The following is a 25248-nucleotide window of genomic DNA, read 5'->3' as shown; positions in this document are numbered from 1 at the left end:
TGGAAACAAACAAAAATTCCCCAAACAAAAAACCCTGAAAACAAAACTTGAAAGTTCAAGTTGATTCATAAAATTGGCCAAGCACAGTAGCTCATGCCTGTAATCCCAGCATTTGGGGAGGCTGGGGCAGAAGGACTGCTTGATAGAAGTTCAAGACTAGCCTGAGCAACATAGAGAGGCCCTATCTGCACAAAAAAGTCAAAATATTAGCTGGGTGTGGTGGTGTGCACCTATGGTTCCAGCTACACAGCAAGCTAAAGCAGGAGGATGTCTTGAGCCCAGGAATTCAAGGCTGCAGTGCGCCATGTTTGCACCACTGCACTCTAGCTGGGGTGAAAAAGTGAAGCCCTGTCTTAATTAATTAATTAGTTAATTAAATAAAAATGTTTAAAAGTTGATCCATAAATAAACTGCCTGCCAGGACAAAACTCAACAATCAAGAAACACTATATGCAAAAAAAAAAAAAAAAAAAAAAAAAAAAATGAAGACACTCAACATCATGAAATCCATTAAAAATTACCAGGCCTATGAAAAATAAATAATAAACTACAATAAGGACCAAGAAATGGCTGGGGTAAGTAAAGGACATTTGAGTAAAAGACCTTATAACAGCTATTAGAAAAGAGTTTAAAGACCTAAAGAAAAACATCAACACAATGAAGAAAAAAGGAAATACCTCATAGAGAAGTGGAAACCAAACATGTGTAAGAGAACTTCTAGAACTAAAAAAAAAAAAAAGGGGGGGTGTCTGACATGAAAAATTGACTGGACAGGCATAACAGCAAATTAGACAAAGAAGCTATTAACAAAAAAATCAGTTACCCTGAAGACAGGGCAGCAGAAAATTTCCAAACTAAAGGAAAAAGAAACAGATTGGAAGAAAAATGGACAGGGCCTCAGTAAACTGCAAGTTAATATTAAGTGGTTGAACATATGTGGGATTAGAGTCTGTAGGAGAAAGACACCTGAGAAGAAAAAAAACTTCAAGATAGATGGCTAAAAATTTTACAAATGTGATGAATACAATACACCCACAGATCCACGAAACTCAATAAACTTCCAAAAAGCCACACAAAGGCTCAACATAATAAAGTTGCTGTCAATCAGTGATACAAACGAAATCTTAAAAGCAGCCAAAGGAAAAAAACATATTATATACAGAGAAACAAATACAAGAATTACAACAAACTTCTTGTCAGAAACTATACAAACAAGAAGATAGTGGAATATCTTTAAGATGGTGGGCGGAGGGGATCCTAAAAACCTAGAATTCCATATCCACACCAACAACTTTCAAAAGTGAAAACAAAATGAGAGGAATGTTGAACTACAGGAAATGTAACAGGAAGTTTTTTAAGCAAAGGGAATATACTAGACACAAACTTGGATGGATACAAAGAAATAAAGATCTAAAAAATGGTTAAATGAAGGTAAATATTAAAGACATTTTTCTTTTTTCTTTTCTTTTTTTTTTTTTTGACAGGGTGTTACTCTCTGTCACCCAGGCTCAAGCACAGTGGCATGATCTAGGCTCACTGCAGCCTCGACAGCCCAGGCTCAAGCAATACCTCCCACCTAAGCTTCCAGAGTAGCTGGAATTACAGGCACGAGCCACCATGTCTGGCTAATTTTTGTTATTTTTTTATAGATACTGTGTCCTACTATGTTGCTCAGGCTGGTCTTGAACTCCTGGGTTCAAGCAATCCACCCACCTCAGCCTCCCAAAGTGCTGGGATTACAGTATTTTTGTCACTTTTAATTGCTTGAAAAGGTAACTGCCTGACAAAGCAGAAAGAACACTTCAACTCAAAATGCATGACAACAAAAGCACGAAATATGGAAAAGAAGAAATGGAAGTAACTATTATGATTCTTGAACTACACATTAAGTGGTAAAATATTAGTTGAAGGCAAATCACGATTAACTAATTAAGGCCGCCAATAAAAAAAAATTGAAAGAGATCTAAGTTACAAACCAACAGGAAAGATAAAATAGAATCATAAAAAATAATCCATCCAAAAACAGGCAGATAATCAAGGAAAAAAGAAACAACACCAGCCAACAGAAAACAAATAGTAAGATGGCACAGTTTCATTCAACTATATCAAAATTACATTAAGTGCAAATGGTCTAAACCACTGGTTGGCATGGGGGCATGGCTGTGTTCCAATAAAATTTTATTTACATAAACAGGTGGCAGGCCAGATTTAACCTGCCAGCCATAGTTTGCCAACCCTGATCTAAACACATCAATTAAAGGAGAGATTATCAGACTAGATAAAAAAAGTGAGACCCAACTACACATTCTCTACAAGAAATCCACTTCAAGTATAATGATATAAATAGGTTAAAAGTAAAAGGATGAAAAAGATATATCATGTAAATACTAATCAAAAGAAAAGTTTGTATCAGACAGAGACTTCAGAACAACGGAAACTACCTGGGATAAAGGGGACCATTTCATGATGACAGAGGGGTCAATTCATCAACAACACTTAATCTCCAATGTGCATGCACTCAACAATGCTGTAAACTATGCTTGAAATAGGAAACAAAACTTATTGGAACTGAAAGAAGAAACAGACAAATCCAAAACTGCAGTTGGAAACTTCAACCCTCCTCTCACAATAGTTGACAGAACCACAGACAGAAAATCAGTAAAGATGTAAGATATAAGAAGATCAGACTAACCTAATTGGCATCTATAGAACACCCCACCTAGTAACAGGAAAATAACCATTCTTTTCAAGTATACATTGAACGTTCACCAAGACATACCATATGTTGGGCCATAAAACAATCAAAAAGTTTATATTGGTTGAAGTTATTAAGAGTATGTATGTTCTCTGATCACCACGGCATTAAATGAAAACACAGTAACAAAAGGATACCTGAAAAATACCAAATATTTGAAAATTATTTGGAAACATTCTTTCAAACAACCCATGGGTCAAATAAATTCCAAGAGGAATTTAAAAATATTTTGAATGGAATAATAATTAAATCATATCAATATCTGTGGGATGCAGCTAAAGAATGCTTACAGGGAAACTTATAGCTTTAAATGTTAATAATTGTTTTTTAAAAGGAGTTTCGAAAATCAATGATCTAAGCTTTCACTTAAAACTAGGGAAAAAAGAGCAAATTAAACCCAAAGTAAGGAGAAGGGAAGGAATTAAAGAGCTCAAATCATGAAACAGAAAACAGATAAACCACAGAGAAAAAGCAATGTCAAAAGTTGGTTCTTTGAAAGGATTTATGAAATTGATATTCCTTTCTCAAGTTAGATTAATCAAGGGGAAAAAAGGAAAAAGACATCCAATCTCAAGAATAAAAGAAGGAATAGATCCTACTGACATAAAAAGGAAATATTGTTTCATAAAATTTATAATTTATTTTCATGCTGATAAATTCAACAGATTCTCCAAAATGCAAATTACCAAAACAGACATAAAAAAGAAAAAGAAAATCTGAGTAGTCTTACATTTGTTTTAGACCCAGAGACTCACTCTGTCACCCACCCTGGAGTGCAGTGGCATGATCACAGCTCACTGGAGCCTCAACCTCCCAGGCTCAAAGGATCTTCCTGCCTCAACCTCCTGAGTAGCTGAAACTACAGGTGTGCGCCACCAGGCCTGGCTAGTTTTTAAATTTTTGGTAGAGATGGGGTCTGCCTATGTTGCCCAAGCTGGTCTCAAACTTCTGGGCTCAAGTGATCCTTCCACCTCAGTCTCCCAAAATGCTGGGATTACAGGCATGAGCCACCATGCTGGGCCTATATTCATTCTTTTATAAATTAAATTCCTTAATTAAGAACTTTCCACAAAGAAAACTACAGGTCCAGATGGCTTCATTGATAAATTCCATCAAACATTTAACGAAGAACATCAATTTTATCCAAACTCTTCCACAAAATAAGAGGAAACACCTCCTAATTCATAAAAAAAGTCAGCATAACTCTGATACCAAAACAAACAAAAAACTATAGACCAAGAATAATCCCTCATTGAATCTAGAGGAAACAAAACAAAAAGCAAAAACAAAAACAAAAAAACGACAATACATCTCAACCAAGTTTATCTCAAGAATGCAAGGTTGGTTTAATAATCAAATACCAATCAATGTAATTCACCATCTTAATAGAATAAAGAAGAAATACCACATAAGCGTCTCAATAGTGCAGACTCATTTTTTAAGAAAGCTGAACAGGCCGGGCACAGTGGCTCACGCCTGTAATCCCAGCACTTTGGGAGGCCGAGGCAGGCGGATCACGAGGTCAGGAATTCGAGACCAGCCTGGCCAATATGGTGAAACCCTGTCTTTACTAAAAATACAAAAATTATCTGGGCGTGGTGGCACGCGCCTATAGTCCCAGCTACTTGGGAGGCTGAGGCAGAAGAATCGCTTGAACCCAGGAGGCGGGGGTTGCAGTGAGCCAAGATAGCGCCACTGCACTCCAGCCTGGGCAACAGAGCGAGACTGTGTCTCAAAAAAAAAAAAAAAAAAAAAAAAAGCTAAACATCCACTTGTGGGAAAAAAAAAAGCTCTAAGCAAAGAGAACTTCTTCAATCTGATAAAGGGCATCTATGAAAAATGTATAGCTAACATATACAATGGTGAAAGAGTTCTCTCTACACTAAAAAAGAAGATCTAAATAGAGCTATATTATGTTCATGTTAAGATGTTAATTTTCTCCAATTCATAGATTCAAATGCAACCCTAATAAAAATTCCAAAAGGCTTTTTTGTAGATATTGATAAGCTGATTACAAAATTTATGTGCAAATGTACAATACCTAAAAAAAGTCTAAACAATCTTGAAAAATAAGAACTAAACTGGAGAAGTTCTATTACCTTATTTCAAGACTTAATGCTATGGTAAATCAAGACAGTGTCATAGTGGCAGAAAGACAAACAGATGAACAGAATAGAGTTTAGAGACAGATCCACACTTACTCCATTAACTGCGCTTTAACAAGGTGCCAAAGCAATTAATGCGGAAAGGGAAGTATACTGTGTTGGAACAATTAGCTATCTATATGGGGGCAAAAATCTAATCTTAACCAATACACAATACACAAAATTATCACCTCAATACACAAAAATTATCACCATAAAGCATCTGGAAGAAAACAGGATAATATCTTCACAACTGTGGGGGTGGCAAAGATTCTTAGACAGGACCCAGAAAAACACTAGCATAAGAGGAAATATTGATAAAATAGACCACTAAATTCAAAACTTTTGTTCATCGAAAGATGCCACCAAAACAATGAACAGTCAAGCCACAGACTGGAAGAAAAATCTCTAACACATTTATGTGTCAAAGAAGTTGCATCCAATTAATATACAAATCCTAAAACTTAACAGTAAAATGACATAAAATTGGTAACTGGTTAATGCCTTGAACAGACATATCACTAAGGATGATATGCAAAATAGCCTATAAGCACATGACAAAATGCATGACATCGATACTCACAAGGAAAATGCAAATTCAAACCACAGTGAGATATCCCAGTAAGATGACTAAACCAAATATTGATGATAATAAGAAACAGAACTCTCATAGATTGCTAGTGGGAATGTAAAATGGTAAAACTATCTCAGAAATTAAATTGTTCTGCAAGTTTCTCATAATGCTAAACATAGACCTATTTTAAAACCCAGCAATTCCACTTCATGTATTGACCCAAGAGAAAAGAAAACATGTCACAAAAAGACTTATACAAGAATGTTCATGGTAGCTTTATTCATTAACAGTTGAAAACTGGAAACAATCTTTCCCACAATAATAATATTCATATAATGGAATACTACTCTACAACTAAAAGGAACAATTCTTATATGTAACATGGATGAACCTCAAAAACATGCTGATAAAAAGAAGCCAGACTCAAAAGAGTACATACTGCATGACTCCATTTATAAAAAATTCTAGAACAAAGTTAATCTTCAGTGAAATAAATCAGAACAGTGACTGCAGCCACGGAAAAGGAGAAACAGCAAGGACTCAATGGGAAGAGAGCACAGGGGCTCTTTCTGGATGACAGAAATCATAAATTACAAAGATGTATTAATTGTCAAAACTAATCTTGAACTTAGGTACATCTTGAACCTGGTATATCCCTATTTAGATCTTTAAATTTTCTTTTTTAGTGTAGAAAGAACTCAGTCTTTCACCACTGAATATGATGTTAGCTATAGGTTTTTAATAGATGCCCTTTATCAGACTGAAGAAGTTCTCTTCTATATTTAGTTTGCTTAGAGTTTTTTTTCACAAGTGGACATTTAAATTTCTTAAGGTTATTAAAGATATTTGGTGTATGCAACTGTACATACACTTAATATCTGTGTATTTCACTATATGTAAATTACACTTCCACTTTTTAAAAAAATTAAAGGAGGCCAGGCACTGCGGCTCACACCTGTAATCCCAACACTTTGGGAGGCTGAGGTGGGTGGATCACGAGGTCAGCAGTTTGAGACCAGCCTAACCAACGTGGTGAAACCCCATCTCTACTAAAAATACAAAAATTAGCTGGGAGTGGTGGCACACACCTGTAATCCCAGTTACTCAGGAGGCTGAGGCAGGAGAATTGCTTGAACCTGGGAGGTGCAGGTTGCAGTGAGCCGAGATTGCGCCACTGCACTCCAGCGTGGGCAACAGAGCGAGATGCTACATAAAAAATAAATAAATAAATAAAATAAAGGAAAACAACCACCAAAAACTGAAATTCTATCTCCTTACTCTTTGCCCACCCTCTAGAACAGTATCTCCTAAACTTTGGTCTGAGGACTACATATATCAGAATCACTTGAACCCTTGCCTTAACTTTTACTGAACCAGAATTCAAGCATGGGGGGTGGAGACTGGAAATCTGTATTTTAAAAAAGAGCCCCAGGTAATTCTCATGTCTAGGAAAGTTTAAGAATTGCTGTTATAGAAGTATGTAAGGAGAAAACAAAAAGATACAAGGGATTTTAAAATAGTATGTAAATTAAGTAATCAGTGCTACAAACATCATAAACTATAACAGTTGTCACTGAAGTCCTAAATTGCTATTTAAATTATGTTATAGTATCCTCTGTTCATGTTCAATTTTCTACTCAGTGCTTTAGGGAGTTGCAATTCCAAATTTTAGTCTTGAATCATCTAACTACCCAAATTTCTCATTAATCCCAACTCAAAATAGGCATTTTAGATAGGAAATCTTGTTCACCAGGTCCTTCACTTCCCCCTGCTGCTCCACCCTTAATGTTCTATTACTTTCTTGGTACTGTTTTTCCCAACTCCTAATAGTGTTATTCCTACTTTTCTCTGCACAGCCTTGTCTTTCTACCTCCTCTAAAACCAAACCCAAAACTCATCTTTTCCACTAAGTGCTAAACACCACCTAAGTCAGATTCTTTCCAAATTCCCTTCAGCACTTGAAGATCTTCCTCCTAACAGACACATTTATTTTACTGAAATTGGACACCTCATCTTTATGACAAATTAACTCCATCCTTTGCTTAGAAAGCAGAACCTTTGGGGGAGAACTGAAAAGATTACAGCCTCTTCTCTCAAGCTGTTTTTATTTTTCCCTCTTTGAGTTGCTCTAAGGGGCTGGAAAGGTAAAGAGGCAAAGAGGCAAAGTGCTAGTTGCTTAGGGATGCTCTGGAATAGATAGTAAAGAAGGTGAAAGCCTGTAATCGCAGCACTTTGGGAGGCCAAGGCGGGCGGATCGCGAGGTCAAGAAATTGAGACCGTCTGGCCAACACGGTGAAACCTCATCTCTACTAAAAATACAAAAATTAGCCAGGCGTGGTGGTGCATGCCTGTAGTCCCCGCTACTTGGGAGGCTGAGGCAGGAGAATCTGTTGAACCTGGGAGGTGGAGGTTGCAGTGAGCCGAGATGGCACCACTGCATACCAGCCTGGCAACAGAGCGAGACCCTATCTCAAAAAAAAAAAAAAAAAAAAAAAAAGGCTTCAGGATTCAGTATCTGTTCAGAGACCACTTCACCAGCCCAAAGAAGCAAACATGGATTCCAAAAAGAAACTCTAGTTGAGGGATAAGGAAGTGCATTTGCCTAAGAATCCTGTGTTGTACTGGATGGCTAGCCAGGATTCCGAAGGCAGGAAGAAAGATCCCAACTGGTACAGTGTTTCAAGGACACTCAAATATTTCTGGCTTTCTGGCAGCAAATATTTTTCTACATTTTTTGTAACAGAGTTTGGGGTGGCAATGGGTAATAGGTAAATATTATGAAACTCTTGAACTAAGTACCAGCAATGGCAGTTACTTTTTGTTCTGAACGCATTATCATTTAGATATTATGGGCATTACTCATCTATTTTCATAATTTTCAGCTACAAAATATATGCCTTCAAAATCATATCTATAATCCTGACCACGCTCCTGATCCAGACCCGTATTTCCAACTGATATTGTGGTATCATTACTTACCTAAAAAGCATTATTACTTATCTGAAATTAAACTCAGTATTCTCTCTCTCCCAAACTTGCATATATTATTCTATTGCCAAGCCAGGAACCTTAGACTCATACTCAACTTCTAACACCTTCTAACATTAACAAAATCTGGAGGACTCAAACTTTTAAGTATCTCTGAAATCAGCAGTGCTCTTGTTTCCAACCCCACTACAAATTCCTTAATTCAGACCATCATATAATTAGTCTCTTTCTTGAACTAGAGCAGAGCCTTAAATGTCATCCTTGACTGTCATCTATCTACCACAAGCCAAAGAGAATTGCTTCATTCACTCACCTTGCCATGTGTATTACAAACAGTCTCTGACTTACAATTTGGTTAAACTCACAACCATTCTATTTTTCATTTTCAGTACAGTATTCATTAAATTATATAAGATATTCAACACTTTATTATAAAACAGACTTCGTGTTAGATGATTTTGCCCAACTATAGGCTAATGCAAGTGCTCTGAGCACATTTAAGGTAGGCTAGGCTAAGCTATGTTGTTTGGTAGGTTAGGCATATTAAATGCATTTCTGACCTAATGATATTTTCAACTTAGGATGGGTTTATCAGGACTAACCCCATTGTAAGTCGAGGAGCATTTGTATTTGCTCAGTAATTATTTGGTAAATGTCTCCAATCTTTTCTCCTCCAGACTATTCTCTTTATGACTGCTATGATCAATTTTCTAAAACACAAAAGTGTTTGTGTTACTTCCCATCTATAAAACTAAATAAAAATCCAAACTCCTATATGGCTACATACAAAACCCTTCACAATTTGTTCCCCTCCTGCCTCGGTCCTAGTCTGATTTCCTAATTTTCTTTTGCACTAGTTTAGAAAAATCAAATAGCATCTTCCTCCTTAAACACTCTATGTCCTTTCATTTCTAATCATCTACAATAAATAGTAACTCAGTCCAGCTTATTTCATTTTATGAGCGCTCTTATACTATTTACAATCATTAGCTAAACCTATACAGAAGTAATGAGTGAAGAAACAATCAGACAACACACCAACTCTCAATTAGCTTATTTTCATAGCCTTATTAACATGGTCAATACAGACTAAATGAAAATGATTAAAACGTTTCAACTATCTCCTGAGCTTCCACTTTACAGTAAATTGATGTTAAAATTCTTCCGTTATAGATGTAATACCCACCTTTTGACTGACAGGCACAAAGAGAACCATAATTCAACTTTCTCCACATTTGTCCTTTTCCTCTCATCTTTAACACCTCCCTTCCCCACTTCTCCTCCTCTACCTTCTGTGCTAGTCCTGCCACCTAAATTTTCACTGCATCCTCTTTGTCCACTCTTCAAAGGAACATCAGTATTCCTCCATCCTCATTTGTACAGCATTTAAAAATTTTTAAAGCATTTTTACATATACTTACTCACGTGATCCTTATAATCTCACTCTGAGATTCCAAAATCAAATGCTGCCGTTGGTACTTTCTTATATTTTATCTCAATTTTGAGGAAACTGAAGTTCAAAGAAGTTCAGTGACTCATCTAATATACTACTATTCCCTCTGCCTGCAATCCACAACCCCTCTTCACCGGCTGATCTCTCAAGACAGTTCAAGCTTTCCTCTACCTCCAGGGCAAGAAGAATGTTATGCTTATTTCCATGCCATCCTAATGTTTTTCACATTACTACTTTATAGCACTAGAACAATCCAGGTCTCTGGACTCCTATTCTGGTGACTTTTCTATTAAACGATATTTTCCTTGTTAATTAATGTTCCTTTTATTAATGTAACCATTCAGCATTTTATAAAGTCAAGGGGAGAAATGTCAGGGGTCACCAGAGGTGACTAAAACTGTACACCAAGACATTCCTAGCTTTCCTTAAAAATCAAGAATTTAAGGAATGTCTCTAAATCCTCTCAAAGTATTTAGATACCATCCTTGTGGTAAAATGACAACCAAAGCCGACCATAGCAAAGAGTAAAAGAGCACTTCACAAACCCTAAATTAAATTATTACAAGTTTTAAGTGCTGCCTCCTAATATCCTGGGAAATGTCTAGGATTAACAATCAAAAGACTAGCACATTAGTCCCAACTCTACCACACATGGGCTGACTTGGGAAAGTCACTTAACCTTCCCGTGTCAAACTTGCTCTTCTATAAAATGGGATAATGCCACCTACCTTTCTGAACTAAGAGAATTAAATGAAAGAGCAGTCATAATAAATCACTTAGCCTGGAACATAATAAACAGTCAAAATATGATAACCCCTTTATAATTTTTATATAACATCATTTTTGTTTTCAGAACCATGCCCAACAATGTTTAACATATTCTTGGACTTTCTGGCCCGGCAACAACCACAATAAATGCCTTCAAGGAAGTCATCTACATAACTTCTGGATCCCCTTCCTGGGTCACAATTCAGGTCCTATAAATATAATTTGGAATATCTTCCCCTAAATGCATTATCTTGTTCTGTGCCACATGAAAACTCATCAGAGGATATTCCTGTAGCTTCTCCTTGCTGGCTTGGCTTTTAACTACCTGGAACAGCACATGGAGTCAGCTGCAAATCTGGCAACTGTCACTGCCAGTCCGTCTTTTAAATCATTTATAAAAATGTTAAATAAAACTCATCCCAGTACTGATCACCTGAAGGATAATGGGGTTGGACTGCTGTTCTCATGTAAATAGCCAATGTCAAAAACTAAATAATTAGATAAATGAGCACCCCTTTGGCCACATGCATATTTTAACCCATAAGAAAGTGCTTGAGCTTCTCCTTAACAGATTATATTTAACATTCAGTGGGTTTATCCTTTAGCGTTAAGCATATTTCAGGCGCTTTCCTGTCTGGTAATCTAGGAAAAAACAAACTCAGTTTCTTCACACTGTCCTTCAACAATCAACACAGAAGACTTTTGTGACCTCAAAACATATGTGTAGGGATTTCTCTCTACCGAAAAGCAAGCAATCAATTCTAAAGCAGCTACCAACTGGCTGCCCTCTAATTCAAACCAATTCTGACACCAGCTACACCTAGAGACAGCGTGAGATTGCACAGGTTGAGGACCCAGACCCAAAAGACTGAGCCCCACTTCTGATGCCAATCCCAAGCTCAATTATTTTACCTGTGCTTCTGACCAACCGGCTATAAACTGGGGCTCCTACAGCCCTCTCCTTGAGTTTGATTAATTTGCTAGAGCAGCTCACAGAACTCAGGGAAACACTGTAAAGTAAGTAAAAGTGTTTTAAAACACTTTTGCTGGTTATTACAAAACATATTTTAAGGATACAAATAAACAGTCAGAAATAGTGACAATTACAGCAAGGTCTGGAGTGCAGGAACTTCTGTCCCCATGGTGTTGGAGTGTGCCATCTTCCCAGCACATGGATGTGTTCTTGTTCACCTTCCTGGAAGCCCCTAAATGTCTGGCCCTTCTCTTCTCCCCAGTGGTTGGGAGGTGGAGTTGAAAGTGCCAACCCTCAGAGCCCAATGCTGATTTCCCTGGAGTATCAACACCTCCAAACAGTGCTTACCTAGGGACTTTCCAAAAATAGCCTCATTAACATATGCCCAGGTGTGTTTGAAAGGGCTTGTTGTAAATAACAAAAGACTATCTTTCACCTTTATTGCTCAGAAGCTGTTTCAGAGCTGCTTCAGGAACCAAGGATAAGAGGCCAACTACTTCAACAAAAGATATTCTTTCTGCTCTAGTCACTTAAGAAATGATGAGGCTTACAAGACCTGTGTTGAGCCAGGAACCACCACCGAAAAGCAAACTGTATACAGTACATAATAGTATTACATCCTGATACAAAGACGTGCCAACCTGTGGTATTCAGGATTTACACTAGGGCTAAATTCCTACAAAATTCAGTTTACCTCAACACTTTTCTCTACCCAGCCTCCGATTCTCATCCTAACTCCCCTTCCTCCAACTACCTACCATATACGCAGGTCTAACCTGCAGTTCCCGTATCATTTCCATTCCATCATTGGAGTTCTCATTGTTCCATTTTCCCTATATCTATTATTTAAATAAGCTTCCACCCTTTAAAATTGCTTGAAATACTTCTAACTCAAGGATACTGCTCAGAATAGGAAGACTGGACATTGTTCCTGTTTATGGTCATCTTCAAATAAAATAAGGAAGTCAATTTAAAGACAATCCCAGAGCACATAAGCCCATTTCAAATACAATTTTAAAAAAATTATCTTCATCACTGCTTCCTCTTACTAGCTTTGATAAAAAGATTACTGTATGAAAGCTCATCAGAGTAAGGTAAATTTAATTTTGGTGTTAAGCAGCATATGAATCTGTGAAAATATATTCTTGCTATATTATATTTCATAATACAGTATGGTCTCTCTGAAATCATTCCCTACAATTTTTCACCTACATGTAAAGGCAGGCAACTAATTTTCAGGTCACTAAGATGCAAATTTATCCAATATTAACATGAGTCAACAATCCAGCCTAATTACCCTTTCAAGATTACTTCTGCTCTAACCAGATTCAAAAGCCCTCCCCACTCCCCTTGAAAGTAGGATAGCTGGCTGACTCAGATGAAGAATTTGTTAAGATGGACAATGCAAATAATTCATATTTTCCCTCTTTCATTCTCTAACAACTGCACTGAAACTAAGAAAGTAATTTGTACAGTCTACACCTACTCAGTTCACATAACCATGAATTTTAAATATGAATAACAGTCCATTCACAATGGCATAATTATCTTTAAATGTATAAAGAAAACTCCAACCTAATGAAAAAATGAGCAATGGTTGGTTATATTTTAACATGACATGCCTTCTAAAACCATATTTAACTAATTTATTCACATGATTAGATTATGTAATAGACTTGAAGAGAGTACCTATGAAATTCCTAAAAGTATGTCATGAATGCAATAAATGTCCAATAAATTGTGGTAACTTCATAATCCTTATTATGAGAGTTAACCAAAAGAATATTAGAAATTGGTCACTCTTCAAACACTAAAATTCTGCATCAGTGAAAAAAAAAAAACTGTGAAAACTTGTGATGGCTACATGTGGCTTTCTTAGCCCTGCTAGCATCACTTTGGACTCAATAGCTGGCCCAGGTATTTATCATCTGAAGTACCACCAACAGCATGCCTGCCTGAGATCTAAAACAATAGCAAGACTATTACTAGTACAGTAACATTGCTTTCGAGCTATAGCTTGTTTCTAATTTTAATCCCTCACCTGTAAAATACTCACTTCAATGAAACTCTACAAATAAGGGCAATTAAAAGACATTATGTGAGATACATTGAAAAAATAATGAAAATGAATGTTAAAACATACTCATTAAAATAGAGCTCTTGCATGACAGATAAGAAGTTACATATTGTGACAGAAGGCAAAGATGCTTAAGGAAAGACCACAAAGATGCATGAGAATCAAAGTTGAAAGGACCACAAATGGAAGAAGGGCTGTTACAAAAGCAACAGAAAAACCTGAGAAGGCAGAAGCACAGAACACCAAGAGAAATTCACCATTCTTTAAGTGATACACCATTAAGAAGGATTCTGAGATAACTTATAACTCAAACTGTCACCGTCAAAAACATTTGCTAAAACACATGGTCATGACACTAGTTGGACCTGGGTTACAGCAAATTAAAAAGAACCATATGTTATAAAATTGGAGTCACACACATTTTATCACTAAAATCTCACAGCTTAATGAATGAAGTCATCAAAATATTCGTTTAATAGAAAACAGGGTTCAATGATTTTCCCATGGTTCCACTGGCAGAGAAGAGCTGAGATCAATAATAGACCTTATAAATTCCTGACTTCCTCACCTAAGTGTACCCAGCAGGTCTCTAGTACTCTAGTACTGTATTTTCACTGGAATATCTGCAAATCAATTATTAATATTTTTGTTCTAGAATAATGAAACTGCAACAAGGATCTCCCAATGACATTCAGAAACAGTAACACATTCACTCTAATTTGATATGCAGACCTAATTAAAGGTCCAAGGTAAGCAGAGGAAGGAGAGCAATACCAAAAATCAGAGCATCATTTGTACCAAGTACCCCCTTACCAAAGAGTATGATTTGATCGTGCATTTTTCTAGGAATTTTTGTAACTTGAAAGTGCGTGTACAGCAAGGAAATAAATGGGCACACAACTGCCTGCTTACATCTAACGAACCACAGAGAATAATGTCTAATATTTGCTGTACCCTTTCTATGTAGTAGGTAGGCACAGTTAAACCTCACCACTATGCTGTGAGGTAGGTACTTTTAACACCCTCCCTTTACAAACGAGTAAACTCAGGTACACAGTGGTTAAATCACTTGCCTAAGATCATGTGAAGGGGCTGGGATACAAATCCTGTCTTTCTCTATTATAACTATGATAGGAATGATGTATTCATAATGATCATGTAATTCTACTCTCTTTTTAAAGGTACTAAACCCATTTTAACAAAACCGCCACACTAACTGAAAATAATAATGTTCACATAATTTACTTTCAAAATATAGAAGCCTTCTGAATTTTGAAAATCTTTTAAGCAATTAATTTTAGCATAAAAATTATAGAATGCTAAACTACTCTAGGGCATTCATTTAATATTTTCACCTAAATGACAGTTTGTCTCTTTCCAATGACAGGGAACTATCAGCACTAACGCTAACAATGCAGCATATTGTTTTAAACTTTTAAATAAAAGCTCACCCAGTTTTACAAAATTTCATGGATAAAAGTAGTCAACTCAAACTTCTTCATCCTTAGAAGGGAACAAATCACAAATAATCCAAAAACCATTAACAGTTGGCACGAGAATGCTTTAGAAATAAACAGTGTGAAAGTGATAAAGCAATCTCTGGACTGGAGTCCACAGACCTGCCCACCAATCCTGGCCCCACCATTAAATAGCAATTTAATCCCTTCAACTGCTCTGGGCCTTGGTTTCCTAATCTGCAAAATATCATCTCCATGGTCTACCCTTCCAGCTCTAGAAGAAACGTGACTCATACACATACATCTTTTTTCCAAGCCTCCCATTCTCATTCTGTTTAGCTATTACTACTACTTCACAGCCAGTGAGTCTTACTTTTCCTTAGTTCTACAAAAGGAGAAAACAGCCCAATCTAAACAAAGGTGATAGGGGAAAGCTTCCCTAATCACTGGTTTGCCATAGATGATTCTCAAGGTGAATAATGTAGAAGCTATTATAATGTTAAAAGGTGTTAGGTTTCAATATTTTAGGCTACTGTATTGTAAGCCAGTACATTCTCCCTGAGGACGAATAGTAAAATTCAAGGACAATAAGGAGAAAATATATATAATTATCCATTAGTTATTCAAGAACTAAGAAGGTGCCAACTGAAAATATTAACACCTTTTTGCAGAAATGTTTTCTCTGATGGATAAAAGGGCCAAAATATGATATACAAATTTTTCCAAAATATGTTTAAGTACTAATCAGCTTTCATTTTGTAAACCGTAAAGTACGCTACAAATGTAAAAAATTACTAACATATATAAAATTAAGAAAATATTCATAAGATTAAAGATCTCAGTGAAATGAAGAACCGCCACGGACTGCCATGGAGGTGCACTCTGGAGACCACCACTGCCTAAACCCGGTGTGCATTTTCTATGTTCTCAAGAGTGCTATATAAAGGAAAAATTATTAAAATTAAACTAAACAACTGACATTAAGATTACCAATTGTTAAGAAACTCAACCTGATTTTAGTATTGCTTAATAGAGCTGCTAGCTTACCACCTCCTTCCCAGTCAACACAAGTTAAAATATTTTAAAACTTATATAGAATCCGTAGTTCAATTTTGCATCATCTTGTAGAGAAACGAAAGTAAGGAAAAGAAAGAATGTGAATTACTTATTAGTCTTCTAGAATAAAAGTCAGTAGTACATAATAGCACAATCCATTCTAAACGTTAAATAGGGAAGAAGTAAGCCACCACTATGGATAGAGAGGTTGCTACAAGAATTTCAAGGTGTAGTTATGATAATTTCCAGAAAAACTTGTGACTGATAGAATACCATCAAACATACACATATATTTTTCAATAAAAGATAACTGACAAAGTCCAGCAGCCAGGCACCCTTTAGTTGGAATGCCACAAGAAAATGTCAAAATTTCCTTGTGACTCCAATCCCTCAAGCCTTTCAAAGTTCGGAACCAAACCAAGATGTATTTACACTGTTTTTTTAGCATCCTTCTTTAAATGCAATTCCCTCTCCACAAAAATCACTCCGCTTCTGCTACTCGGATGCCCAAACCCCACATCAAAGACTCTTAGGAGCCCAAGTAGTTGCAGAGGGGTCTTCCAGCTCCCGCCTCCGCATCCCTTACCCACCTTGGTTAGTTAAACCTCCCGGGGCACTCAATTCATTTCCCACATATGTACTCATTGGTTCCCTCCCTCATCCCCAAGAGGATCTTTTCTCCTCGACCTTGAAGACCCCCAGATCGGGCTCTTGGAGCCCCAAGTGACTTGGTCGGTGCTCCCTTCCCTGCAGCCTGTGTAACTGCTTCAGTCTCCGGTGGCCTCCCCGCGACCCACCACGACCCCGATCACGGATGCCCTCCTACTGGCCCCGGACGACCCCCTTCCCCTTAGGAACCCCACGTTCCTCCAACCAGAAAAACAATTCCACAGAAATGCATCGAGAGCCTACTAAGCGCAAGCTCCCACTGTGAGCGGCGTGGTCTGCACGGGGCTCGCGGCCCGGGCTAGCAGTCCTTTTCCCGGCCAGCCCATCCCAGCCAGAGGCCGGCGCTGCCTCCGCCGCGGTGCGGGGGCGACAGCCGGGGGCGGAATGCGCCGGGCGCGGGCACTGGGGCACCGAGAGGCGGCCGCGGACGACGGCGCGGGGGCCGGGGAGCAGGCGGCGGGCCGGGCGCGACCGCGGGGACACTCACCGTTTGGGGCGCGCGGGGCGGCCTCATCCAGGGCACCTGCGGCCAGGCAGGACGGGCCCGGACGGCGCAGTCACCGACAGGGCGAGTCCGCCTGCCCTCCGGTGCGTCCCGTCCCCTCCGACTGCCCAGCGAGCGCAGCGTCGCTTCCTCCGGACGGAGCCCGGGGACCCCAGCTCCGCCGGATGCCCCCGCCAGGCCCCCACCCCCTTCCCTGCCGCCTCCCCTTCTTCACCCGTTTCCCCTCCCCCCTCCCCCCAACCCCCACCAGAATGGAAAATACCTCCCGGGGCGGGGGGCGGGGGGCGGGCAGGGGCACGCCTCTCTGAAGGGCAGCCTACCGTGACCAATAGCAGGCAGGGCTTTAGAGGGGCGGGATTCCTAGCGGCCAATCCGGAGGCGGGTAGGTGAAGGCCGAAGGAGGGAGGCAGGGCGCGAGACGGGGGCGGCCCGGGAGTCGGGGAGGTCCGGCCGCTTGGGTGCGCGCTCTGCGCGGCTGCCATTTTGGAGTCTGGCAGCTGCGACGGGCGCCGTGTCCGGCCGGGGAAAGGGAGGAGCCAGTCAGGTGGGAGAGAGGCGGTCACGTGGGCCTGAGAGGCGGGGTAAAGCGGGCTGCGGCCCGAAGGGAGGGGTCGACGGCGGGGAGTCTCGGGGATTGAGGGGGAATGTCACGTGGTCGGAGAAGGGCAAGCGATGGGCTTGTGGGTGGAAGGTGAACCTGAAGTAGGAGTGGGGGGAAAGCTTTGTCCCTGGTTTCAAGTCTTAGGGAGAAGGAGAGGAAAGTGCTGAATGGAGGGCGTGAGTGCCGAGTAGGAAAATGTGAATGAGTCTCTCCAGCGCCCTTCAGCATGGAGCCACCCAGTTAGCAAGTTCCAAGATCCACGGGAAACCGGGCACCTCCTGCAATTCAAGTATTCCTATCCCCGCCCCCAGCTGCCACAAAAATGACTCACAAATCGGAGGGAGGGGTGTCGGTCTCCGTCGTTTTGTCTGCATTTTATATGGAAGGGCCCCCTCCCTGGAAATGGCTGAAAGGGTGGAGGAAGAGAAGCATAGTTCACGCCTGCAAGGGCTCTTCCCGCTGGCTTTTTTTTTTTTTTTTTTTTTGGTAGACAGTGTCTTCCTGTGTTGCCCAAGCTAATCTCGAACTCCTGGGTTCCAGGGATCCTCCTACCCCGGCCTCCCCTCCCAAAGTGCTGGGGTTACAGGCGTGAACCACCATGCCCGGCCCCACTAGTGTTTTAGAAACCTTGTCGTCGTTCACAAACGTACCGGTCACTTCTTAAGTGTTAGACATAACCTTGATCATGTTCCAGCGCCTCAACTTAATAAACCAAAAAGCTCTCCTGTGAGACTGTCTAGCTCTCATCCTTTATTTCAATTCATCCCTCAAGTACTGGCTAAGTTATTCTCCCAACTAATCCACTAAAAAGTGCTTCTGTTAAGGCTCGCAGTGACACCCGTATGACCGGGTTCAAAGGTCGATTTGTAGTCATCCTGCTTGGTCTCCTGCGGTGGATTTTGTGGACTACATGAAGCCTTTTTCTCTTCCCTGATGTACCCCTCAGCCCACTTTTCTAACACCCTAAACCCTCAGATTGTCTTTCTGTTCAGTTAGCCTTTCTAAATCTGTTCTCTGTTGACTCTACGCCCAAGGATCTGACCCTCAGTCCTCTATTTAGTGGGCATGCAGTCGTTTCTCTCTCTGCCCACTGGGTGATCTGACCATTCTGATGGCTCAACAGCTGAATGTATGTTTAATGACGTCCAGATCTGCAGGTATAAGTGCCTCTTGGGCATCTGCACTTGCAAGCCATGATGTCTCCACATGGGACCTCATATACCCTCTGAGGTTCACAAAACCTGCTCCTCCTTCTCATCTGTTCCTTATCTTTTTTTGATGATAACCACCATCCACTTATTTGCCCAAGCCAGGAACCTTGAAGTAACCTTTCATGCCACTTCCTCACTGCTCTAACATCTCCCTACCTCTTCTAACTTTATCGTGTTGGTAATATTTACTAAATGCTTTCTTCTGTTCACTTCTACTGCCACTGCCACTGCCTCACCTGCATCATTTATTTATTAGGCCAGTACTTAACTGAGCACCTTACTATGCACCAGGCATTGTTTGAGATGCTCAGGATGTAGTGGTGAACAAAACAGACAAAGTTCCTGAGTGGGACAAGACAAATGGTAAAAGTACATTAGTAAATAAATGAGATAATTCAGGGAATGATAAGTATTATGAAGACAATAAAGCAGGGAAACCGATAAGAACTTCCCAAGTTGTTGCTCAGCTCTTCACTGATGTCCATTCCCCCTTCCTTCTGCTTTCTTCTTACTCTCCAAGAAGAAATTGCCTTGATCCTTTCACTTAGTGTGTTGATTCCATGCCCTTTCATCAGCCAGGACTTTCCTCTATCTTTATATTTTTATATTACAGCTACCTGAATACAAATCCCTCAACTAGATGATAAGCTATTTGAGGTCAAGGATTATATCTTACACATCTTTGTGCCCCCACAGTGCCTTAGCTCAGAATAGGTGCTCACAAAACGAGTGTTGAATGAATTGGTGAGCCCCCTGACACCTGAAACAGGCTACCACAAAAGTATATCCAGCCCAAATCAGAATGAAAAGGTCAGTGAACTCGCCTACTTGAGTGTAGTGGCGGTGATGCCTGAGGGCAGGGGACAGAATTATGAATGATGTCACCTGTTTTGGTCCCTTCCGGGCCTGGGATTCCATGATCCTGTGCCCCATGTGTGGCAGTAGTTGCTTCATAAACGCTACTTTACTTGACAGTGTCAAGTACATGCAAGCAATTTAAAAGTACTCTTTGTTTCTGATGATGAGCTTCAAACCCAGAGAACCCTGGGTGAACTGCCAGGATAGGCCCTGCAGGAGAAGGGTGCAGTTGCCACTTCACTTTGTATTTCCAGGCCCTTGGGTATTGCACCCCAATAGGGAGCAAGATGTTGCCAGTTCTGTCATAGTCATAATTAAATCCAAGTTCTGGCAAAGGGCAGTGCGTAATTATGAAGTATTATGGTTTTTATCATTATTAGGCACCCAGCTGCCCAGCCCAGGAAACCACAGTAGTAAAACACTGAGAAGCCAAGCTCCTTTCCCAGCTGGCGTGAACCAATACCAGGTGTATTGGCACATCATCCTGCAGCTTCACACTCATCAAGATTAGACTTTCTGTCCCCTCTTTTTGGCAAAATAAAATTGTAAATGAATGGAAAGAGGAAATGTAAAGAAAGACCTTTGCCACCGCCTCTGAATCAAATTCCTTTTTTGCATTCCCTAAGAATGATCTCTCCTCATCCACCTATTTATTGCATAAATCTTCTTCAATTTTATCCTTGACCTGCTAGCTTTGTAAACATCATTCCACAATTACTCCTGAGAATATATCCCACTGTATTAGGGTGAAAGTACAAAGCACAGAAAAGAGTGCTTTCACGTTCAAGAAACTTAAGAGACTAAATATTCAGGAAAGGATAGTCAGGTTTGACAAGAAATTTGCCATGTATTGAGCACCTACTCAATGCTGCCACTGGCATTTTCACGTATACTATCTGACTTAATTCATACCACCCTGCAAGGTAGGTTTCATTATCCCCATTTTCTTCAAGGTCACAAAGACTTAGTAAGTGATGGAACCAAGATGCCAACATACTTATATAAGTTTGATGATTGTATACTCATAGTGGATATGTCCATACTGGTAGCTGAATAGAGGTAACAGATTTCTGTTACCTCTTTCTATCAAAGTAAAAATGGTTTCTTGTACAAAATAGAGTTTAAGCTGAGCATTGAAAGGACAGTTCATAAGTGATGCTGAGGGATTTATGCCAAATGAGGAGGCCAAATTGGCCATAAGCCTAAAATTAATCAATAAGGAAACATTTCTTGTTCAGCGATGAGTCACATTGTGTTCTTCAAGTACTTTTGTTGTCTCAGCCACAGCAAATGGGGAAGCCAACCCATGTGGCACTGAGTTGGCAGGCATAGGCTGAGGAAGAGTGTGCTCAGGGTGGAGGCAGGTGGTTTGGGGAGGGAATAGGTCTTTGGATGGAGGGATCCCCCAATGGCCAATAAACTGGCACATCTAGCAGTGGCTTCTGAAGCAACTGAAACCATGGCAACTTTCTTTGCTGCCAATCACTTGTTTTTAACTGATGTGTGTAGAACAATTTCCCCTTAAATAGTTATATAGCTAATTTAAACTTAGTTAACTATATAACTTAAGTAGTTAATTTCATCTTTAAATAGTTTAATGTTTGTCAATTTTTAAACTCTTCAGTACTTATATGTTGTACAAGGCAGTTTACTTCTACTAATTTTAGTGGGGTTTTCTAAGGGATTTAAATTTCAGTAAAATAGACACGTTCTAAGTGTACCAGTTTAATCTGTTTTGAGACATACATAACCCTGTAACTACTACCATAATCAAGAAATAGAATATTTGCATTACACCAAAAAGTTTCCTTGTGCCCGTTTACAGTAGGAATTTTAATAAAACTTGTATTTTGACGACTCTAAAATTTAGATCTCCAGCTTAAACCTTGTTTTCGAAGTCTAGAACCATATTTTTAGCTACCTGCTCGACCTACATACTACAAACAAGCATCTCAAACCAAACATGGCTAATGGTAAATGCTTTAACTACAAGAAAACTCCCATCCCTCACCTACCATTTCCTTCTCAAACCACTTTTTCTGTCCTCTCCCATATGGTTGAGCTAATCATCATTTATCAAAGTCACATATGCTAGAAGTTGTCTAAAATAATCTTCTCTTCCCTCTCTGCCACCTCCCAAGGTCAATAAGTGACTCTAACTCACACATACATTTTTTAGTAAGTATTTTCCATTTTCACTATCCTCATTCAGACACTTACCTCGCAAGATCGCAAAAACTCCTAACTTGTTTCTTCATGCTCCAATTCATCTACCAATCTGCCACTCTAATTTTCTTTTGAAAGCCCAGATCTGACTGTTTCAGTCCCCCGCTTTCATGGACTACCCAACTGCATACAAAACGGCACAAAATTGCCCCAACCTTCCCTACTGGACCTCTCCGCTACCCACTACATAGAATGTGCTGTTCATTGTCATCTTTCTGCTTTTTCATCAAATCTTTGCTTAAAATGCGACTCCTTCTTTACCTGAAAAACTCCTGTCTGTCCTTCACAGCCCCATTTAAATGACTTTTCCTCGGCAAAGTTTTTCCAGACTTTTCCAATAAAAATAGTCCTCTCAGTTACACTTAACCTCCTATAACAGGTTGCACATACATTTATCACACTAAATAGACATGGTGATGAAGTAGAACAGGAGACCTGAGTCAGAAGATCTGGGCTTAAATTTAAAATCTCAGTTATTTGCTATGTCATCCAAGACAAATCACATAACCTCTCTGAGCCTTGGTTATTTCACATATAAAATTGTAATAAAACCATAGTAATACCTTACCTCATGGGACCCTTGTGGTGATCAAATAAAGTAATTATAAATATGAACATGATTTGCTTTATGCAGATATTAGATATTATAATTACAGAACTATATCTCCTGATAGATTTTGAGTGCCTTCAGTAAAAAACCAGTGTCCAATTATCTTTGTTTTGTTTGTTTGCTTTGTTTTTGCTTTTCTGTTTTTTGAGACGGCGTTTTTCGCTCTTGTTGCCCAGGCTGGAGTGCAATGGCACAATCTCAGTTCACTGCAATCTCCACCTCCCAGGTTCAGGTGATTCTCGTGCCTCAGCCTCCCGAGTAGCTGGGATTACAGGCACCTGCCACCATGCTCAGCTAATTTTTTGTATTTTTAGTAGAGACGGGGTTTCACCATGTTGGCCAGGCTGGTCTCGGACTCCTGACCTCAGGTGATCCACCTGCCTTGGCCTCCCAAAGTGCTGGGATTACAGGGGTGAGCCACTGCACCCAGCTTGTCCAGTCATCTTTATATGCCTTCTACCTGACATAGTGCCTGGGCCTCCCTAGATTGGTTTATGACATAAATTATTGTTTTTTGTAGAATCGTATTCTCCCAATTAGTCCTTTAATTAACTCTCTTAGCCTACTTTCTTTTTTTTATTTTTTGAGACAGGGTCTCACTCTGTCACCCAGGCTGGAGTGCAGTGGCGCAGTCATGGGTCACTGCAGCCTCAACCTGCCAGGCTCAAGCATTCCTCCTGCCTCAGCCTCCCGAGTAGCTGGTACTATAGGCACATACCATCATGCCCAGCTAATTTTGGTATTTTTTATAGAGACAGGGTCTCCCTATGTTGTCCAACCTGGTCTCCACCTCCTGAACTCAAGTGATCCTACCGCCTCAGCCTCCCAAAAGTGTTGGGATTACAGGCATGAGCCACCATGCCCAGCTTCTTAGCTTACTTTCTACAATGTTTCTTCAAAAACCAATCATGACATCTTCATTTATTTTAATAATCGTGTATTGCCTTTATAATTAAATAGTGACATAAAAAGGTCTCTAAAGAAATTAAATAAATATTCTATCCATGTTTAATTTTACAGGCCTTTATTTACTCAACAAAAACTTTTTAGAGCATTATATACCTGGCCCTATTCTAGGCATCAGGCACGCAAAGATGATCACGAGTCTTCATCAAACTTACAAGATAGTGGGGGCAATAAGCACAAACCAACCAAGATTTTCATCTATATAGTTAAAGGTGCTACAAATAGCACAGAACAATAATGTAACTGGAGTGGTCATGGTGGGCTTCACTAAGGAAGTGGTGTTTGAGCATCGATGACTAGAAGGAAGCAAGTATACGAAAATCAAGAGGAGGGCATTTCAGGCAAAGGGAAGAGTGCAGAGACCCTGAGACAAGAGCGCACAAAGTAGATTTGAGAAACTGAAAGAAGATCTTTGTGGCATGACAGAAGCAAGGGGCAGTGGTAGGAATTGAAATCAAAGAAGCAAGTGGGGCCAGATCATGCAGAACTTTGAAGGTCAGGGTGAATAGTTTAAATTTTAGTCTAATTGTAACAGGAAACCATTGAAGGGTTTTAAGCAGAGATGTGATATGACTTATTTTTTAAAAGAGTGCTCTGGGCTAGATACAGTGGCTCATGCCTGTAATTCCAACACTTTGGGAGGCCTAGATGGGAGGATCCCTTGAGCCCAGGAGTTTGAGGCTGCAGTGAGCTGTGATCACACCACTGCACTCCTCCCTGGGTGATGGAGCAAGACCCTGTCTCTAAAACAACAATAAAGATTGCTTCATCTGCATATGGAGAATGCATCCTGGGGTCTTTGGGAGTGAGGATCAGAAGGAAGATTAGTTGTTTTGGTTCAGACTACAGATGTCAGTGGTCTGGATTAGGGTGGTAACACTGAAAATGGTGAAGAGAAGTGGGTTTTAATGTATGTTTTGCAGGTAGAACCGAAAAGTCTTATTTAATGGGGTGAGTGAGGGAAAGACATTCAATATGACTCTTAGGACTTTGGCCTAAGCAATTCGGTGGATGAAATACCAGTTTGTAGAGTGCCAGTCTTGTGGCAGGCACTGTGATAGATTCTGAGAATACAAAACTCAATGAATAAGACACATTGCTTGCCCTCAAAAAACTCAGTCTAGTGGAAAAGACTGCCTCATACCCCAGTGATTCCCATGGAATGTTTTAAGCTCAATAACTAAGCTACACACAGGTGATCATGAGGGCATCGAGAAGGAACCCAGTCCAGACACGTGAACCAGGAGTCTCACCCTCTTGGGAAGATAACTAGGGAACTATCTTGGCATTTATGAATATATGCAATAACCCACATTCTTAGTAAAGCTTTAATTTAACTCTTTATTATATTAATAAA

The 25248-nt window shown here is 39.8% G+C and overlaps 1 protein-coding gene across 2 annotated transcripts in view, besides 6 other annotated features; it reads right to left on the bottom strand.

Moving 5' to 3' along the window:
• SOCS5 (suppressor of cytokine signaling 5) overlaps positions 1–17914 on the bottom strand; it is a 64193-nt gene extending 46279 nt beyond the window's left edge. The window contains exon 1 of one of the 2 annotated variants that reach the window (NM_014011.5): positions 17740–17914. The gene's annotated coding sequence lies outside the window, so the exon portion shown is untranslated. Of the gene's footprint in view, positions 1–17401; positions 17557–17739 lie in introns of those variants that run through there. The other variant, NM_144949.3, reaches the window with a different exon arrangement.
• Positions 17206–17255: a silencer, noted in NCBI's record as "silent region_11456". NCBI's record gives its function as "represses an Ori minimal core promoter by ATAC-STARR-seq in GM12878 lymphoblastoid cells {active_cell/tissue: GM12878}" and the evidence as "EXISTENCE:reporter gene assay evidence [ECO:0000049][PMID:35858748]".
• Positions 17316–17835: a silencer, noted in NCBI's record as "silent region_11455". NCBI's record gives its function as "represses an Ori minimal core promoter by ATAC-STARR-seq in GM12878 lymphoblastoid cells {active_cell/tissue: GM12878}" and the evidence as "EXISTENCE:reporter gene assay evidence [ECO:0000049][PMID:35858748]".
• Positions 17316–17860: a biological region, named in NCBI's record as "H3K27ac hESC enhancer GRCh37_chr2:46926130-46926646".
• Positions 17344–17860: an enhancer, noted in NCBI's record as "H3K27ac hESC enhancer chr2:46926130-46926646 (GRCh37/hg19 assembly coordinates)". NCBI's record gives its function as "activates a minimal SCP1, AML or CMV promoter by ChIP-STARR-seq in naive H9 embryonic stem cells {active_cell/tissue: H9 hESC(naive)}" and the evidence as "EXISTENCE:reporter gene assay evidence [ECO:0000049][PMID:30033119]".
• Positions 17936–17985: a silencer, noted in NCBI's record as "silent region_11454". NCBI's record gives its function as "represses an Ori minimal core promoter by ATAC-STARR-seq in GM12878 lymphoblastoid cells {active_cell/tissue: GM12878}" and the evidence as "EXISTENCE:reporter gene assay evidence [ECO:0000049][PMID:35858748]".
• Positions 18026–18115: a silencer, noted in NCBI's record as "silent region_11453". NCBI's record gives its function as "represses an Ori minimal core promoter by ATAC-STARR-seq in GM12878 lymphoblastoid cells {active_cell/tissue: GM12878}" and the evidence as "EXISTENCE:reporter gene assay evidence [ECO:0000049][PMID:35858748]".

This window comes from Homo sapiens, chromosome 2 (genome assembly GCF_000001405.40).
Source record: "Homo sapiens chromosome 2, GRCh38.p14 Primary Assembly".
Classification (NCBI taxonomy): domain Eukaryota; kingdom Metazoa; phylum Chordata; class Mammalia; order Primates; family Hominidae; genus Homo; species Homo sapiens.
Note: the sequence above shows the minus strand (reverse complement) of the source record. Positions and strands in the feature narration are given on the sequence as shown.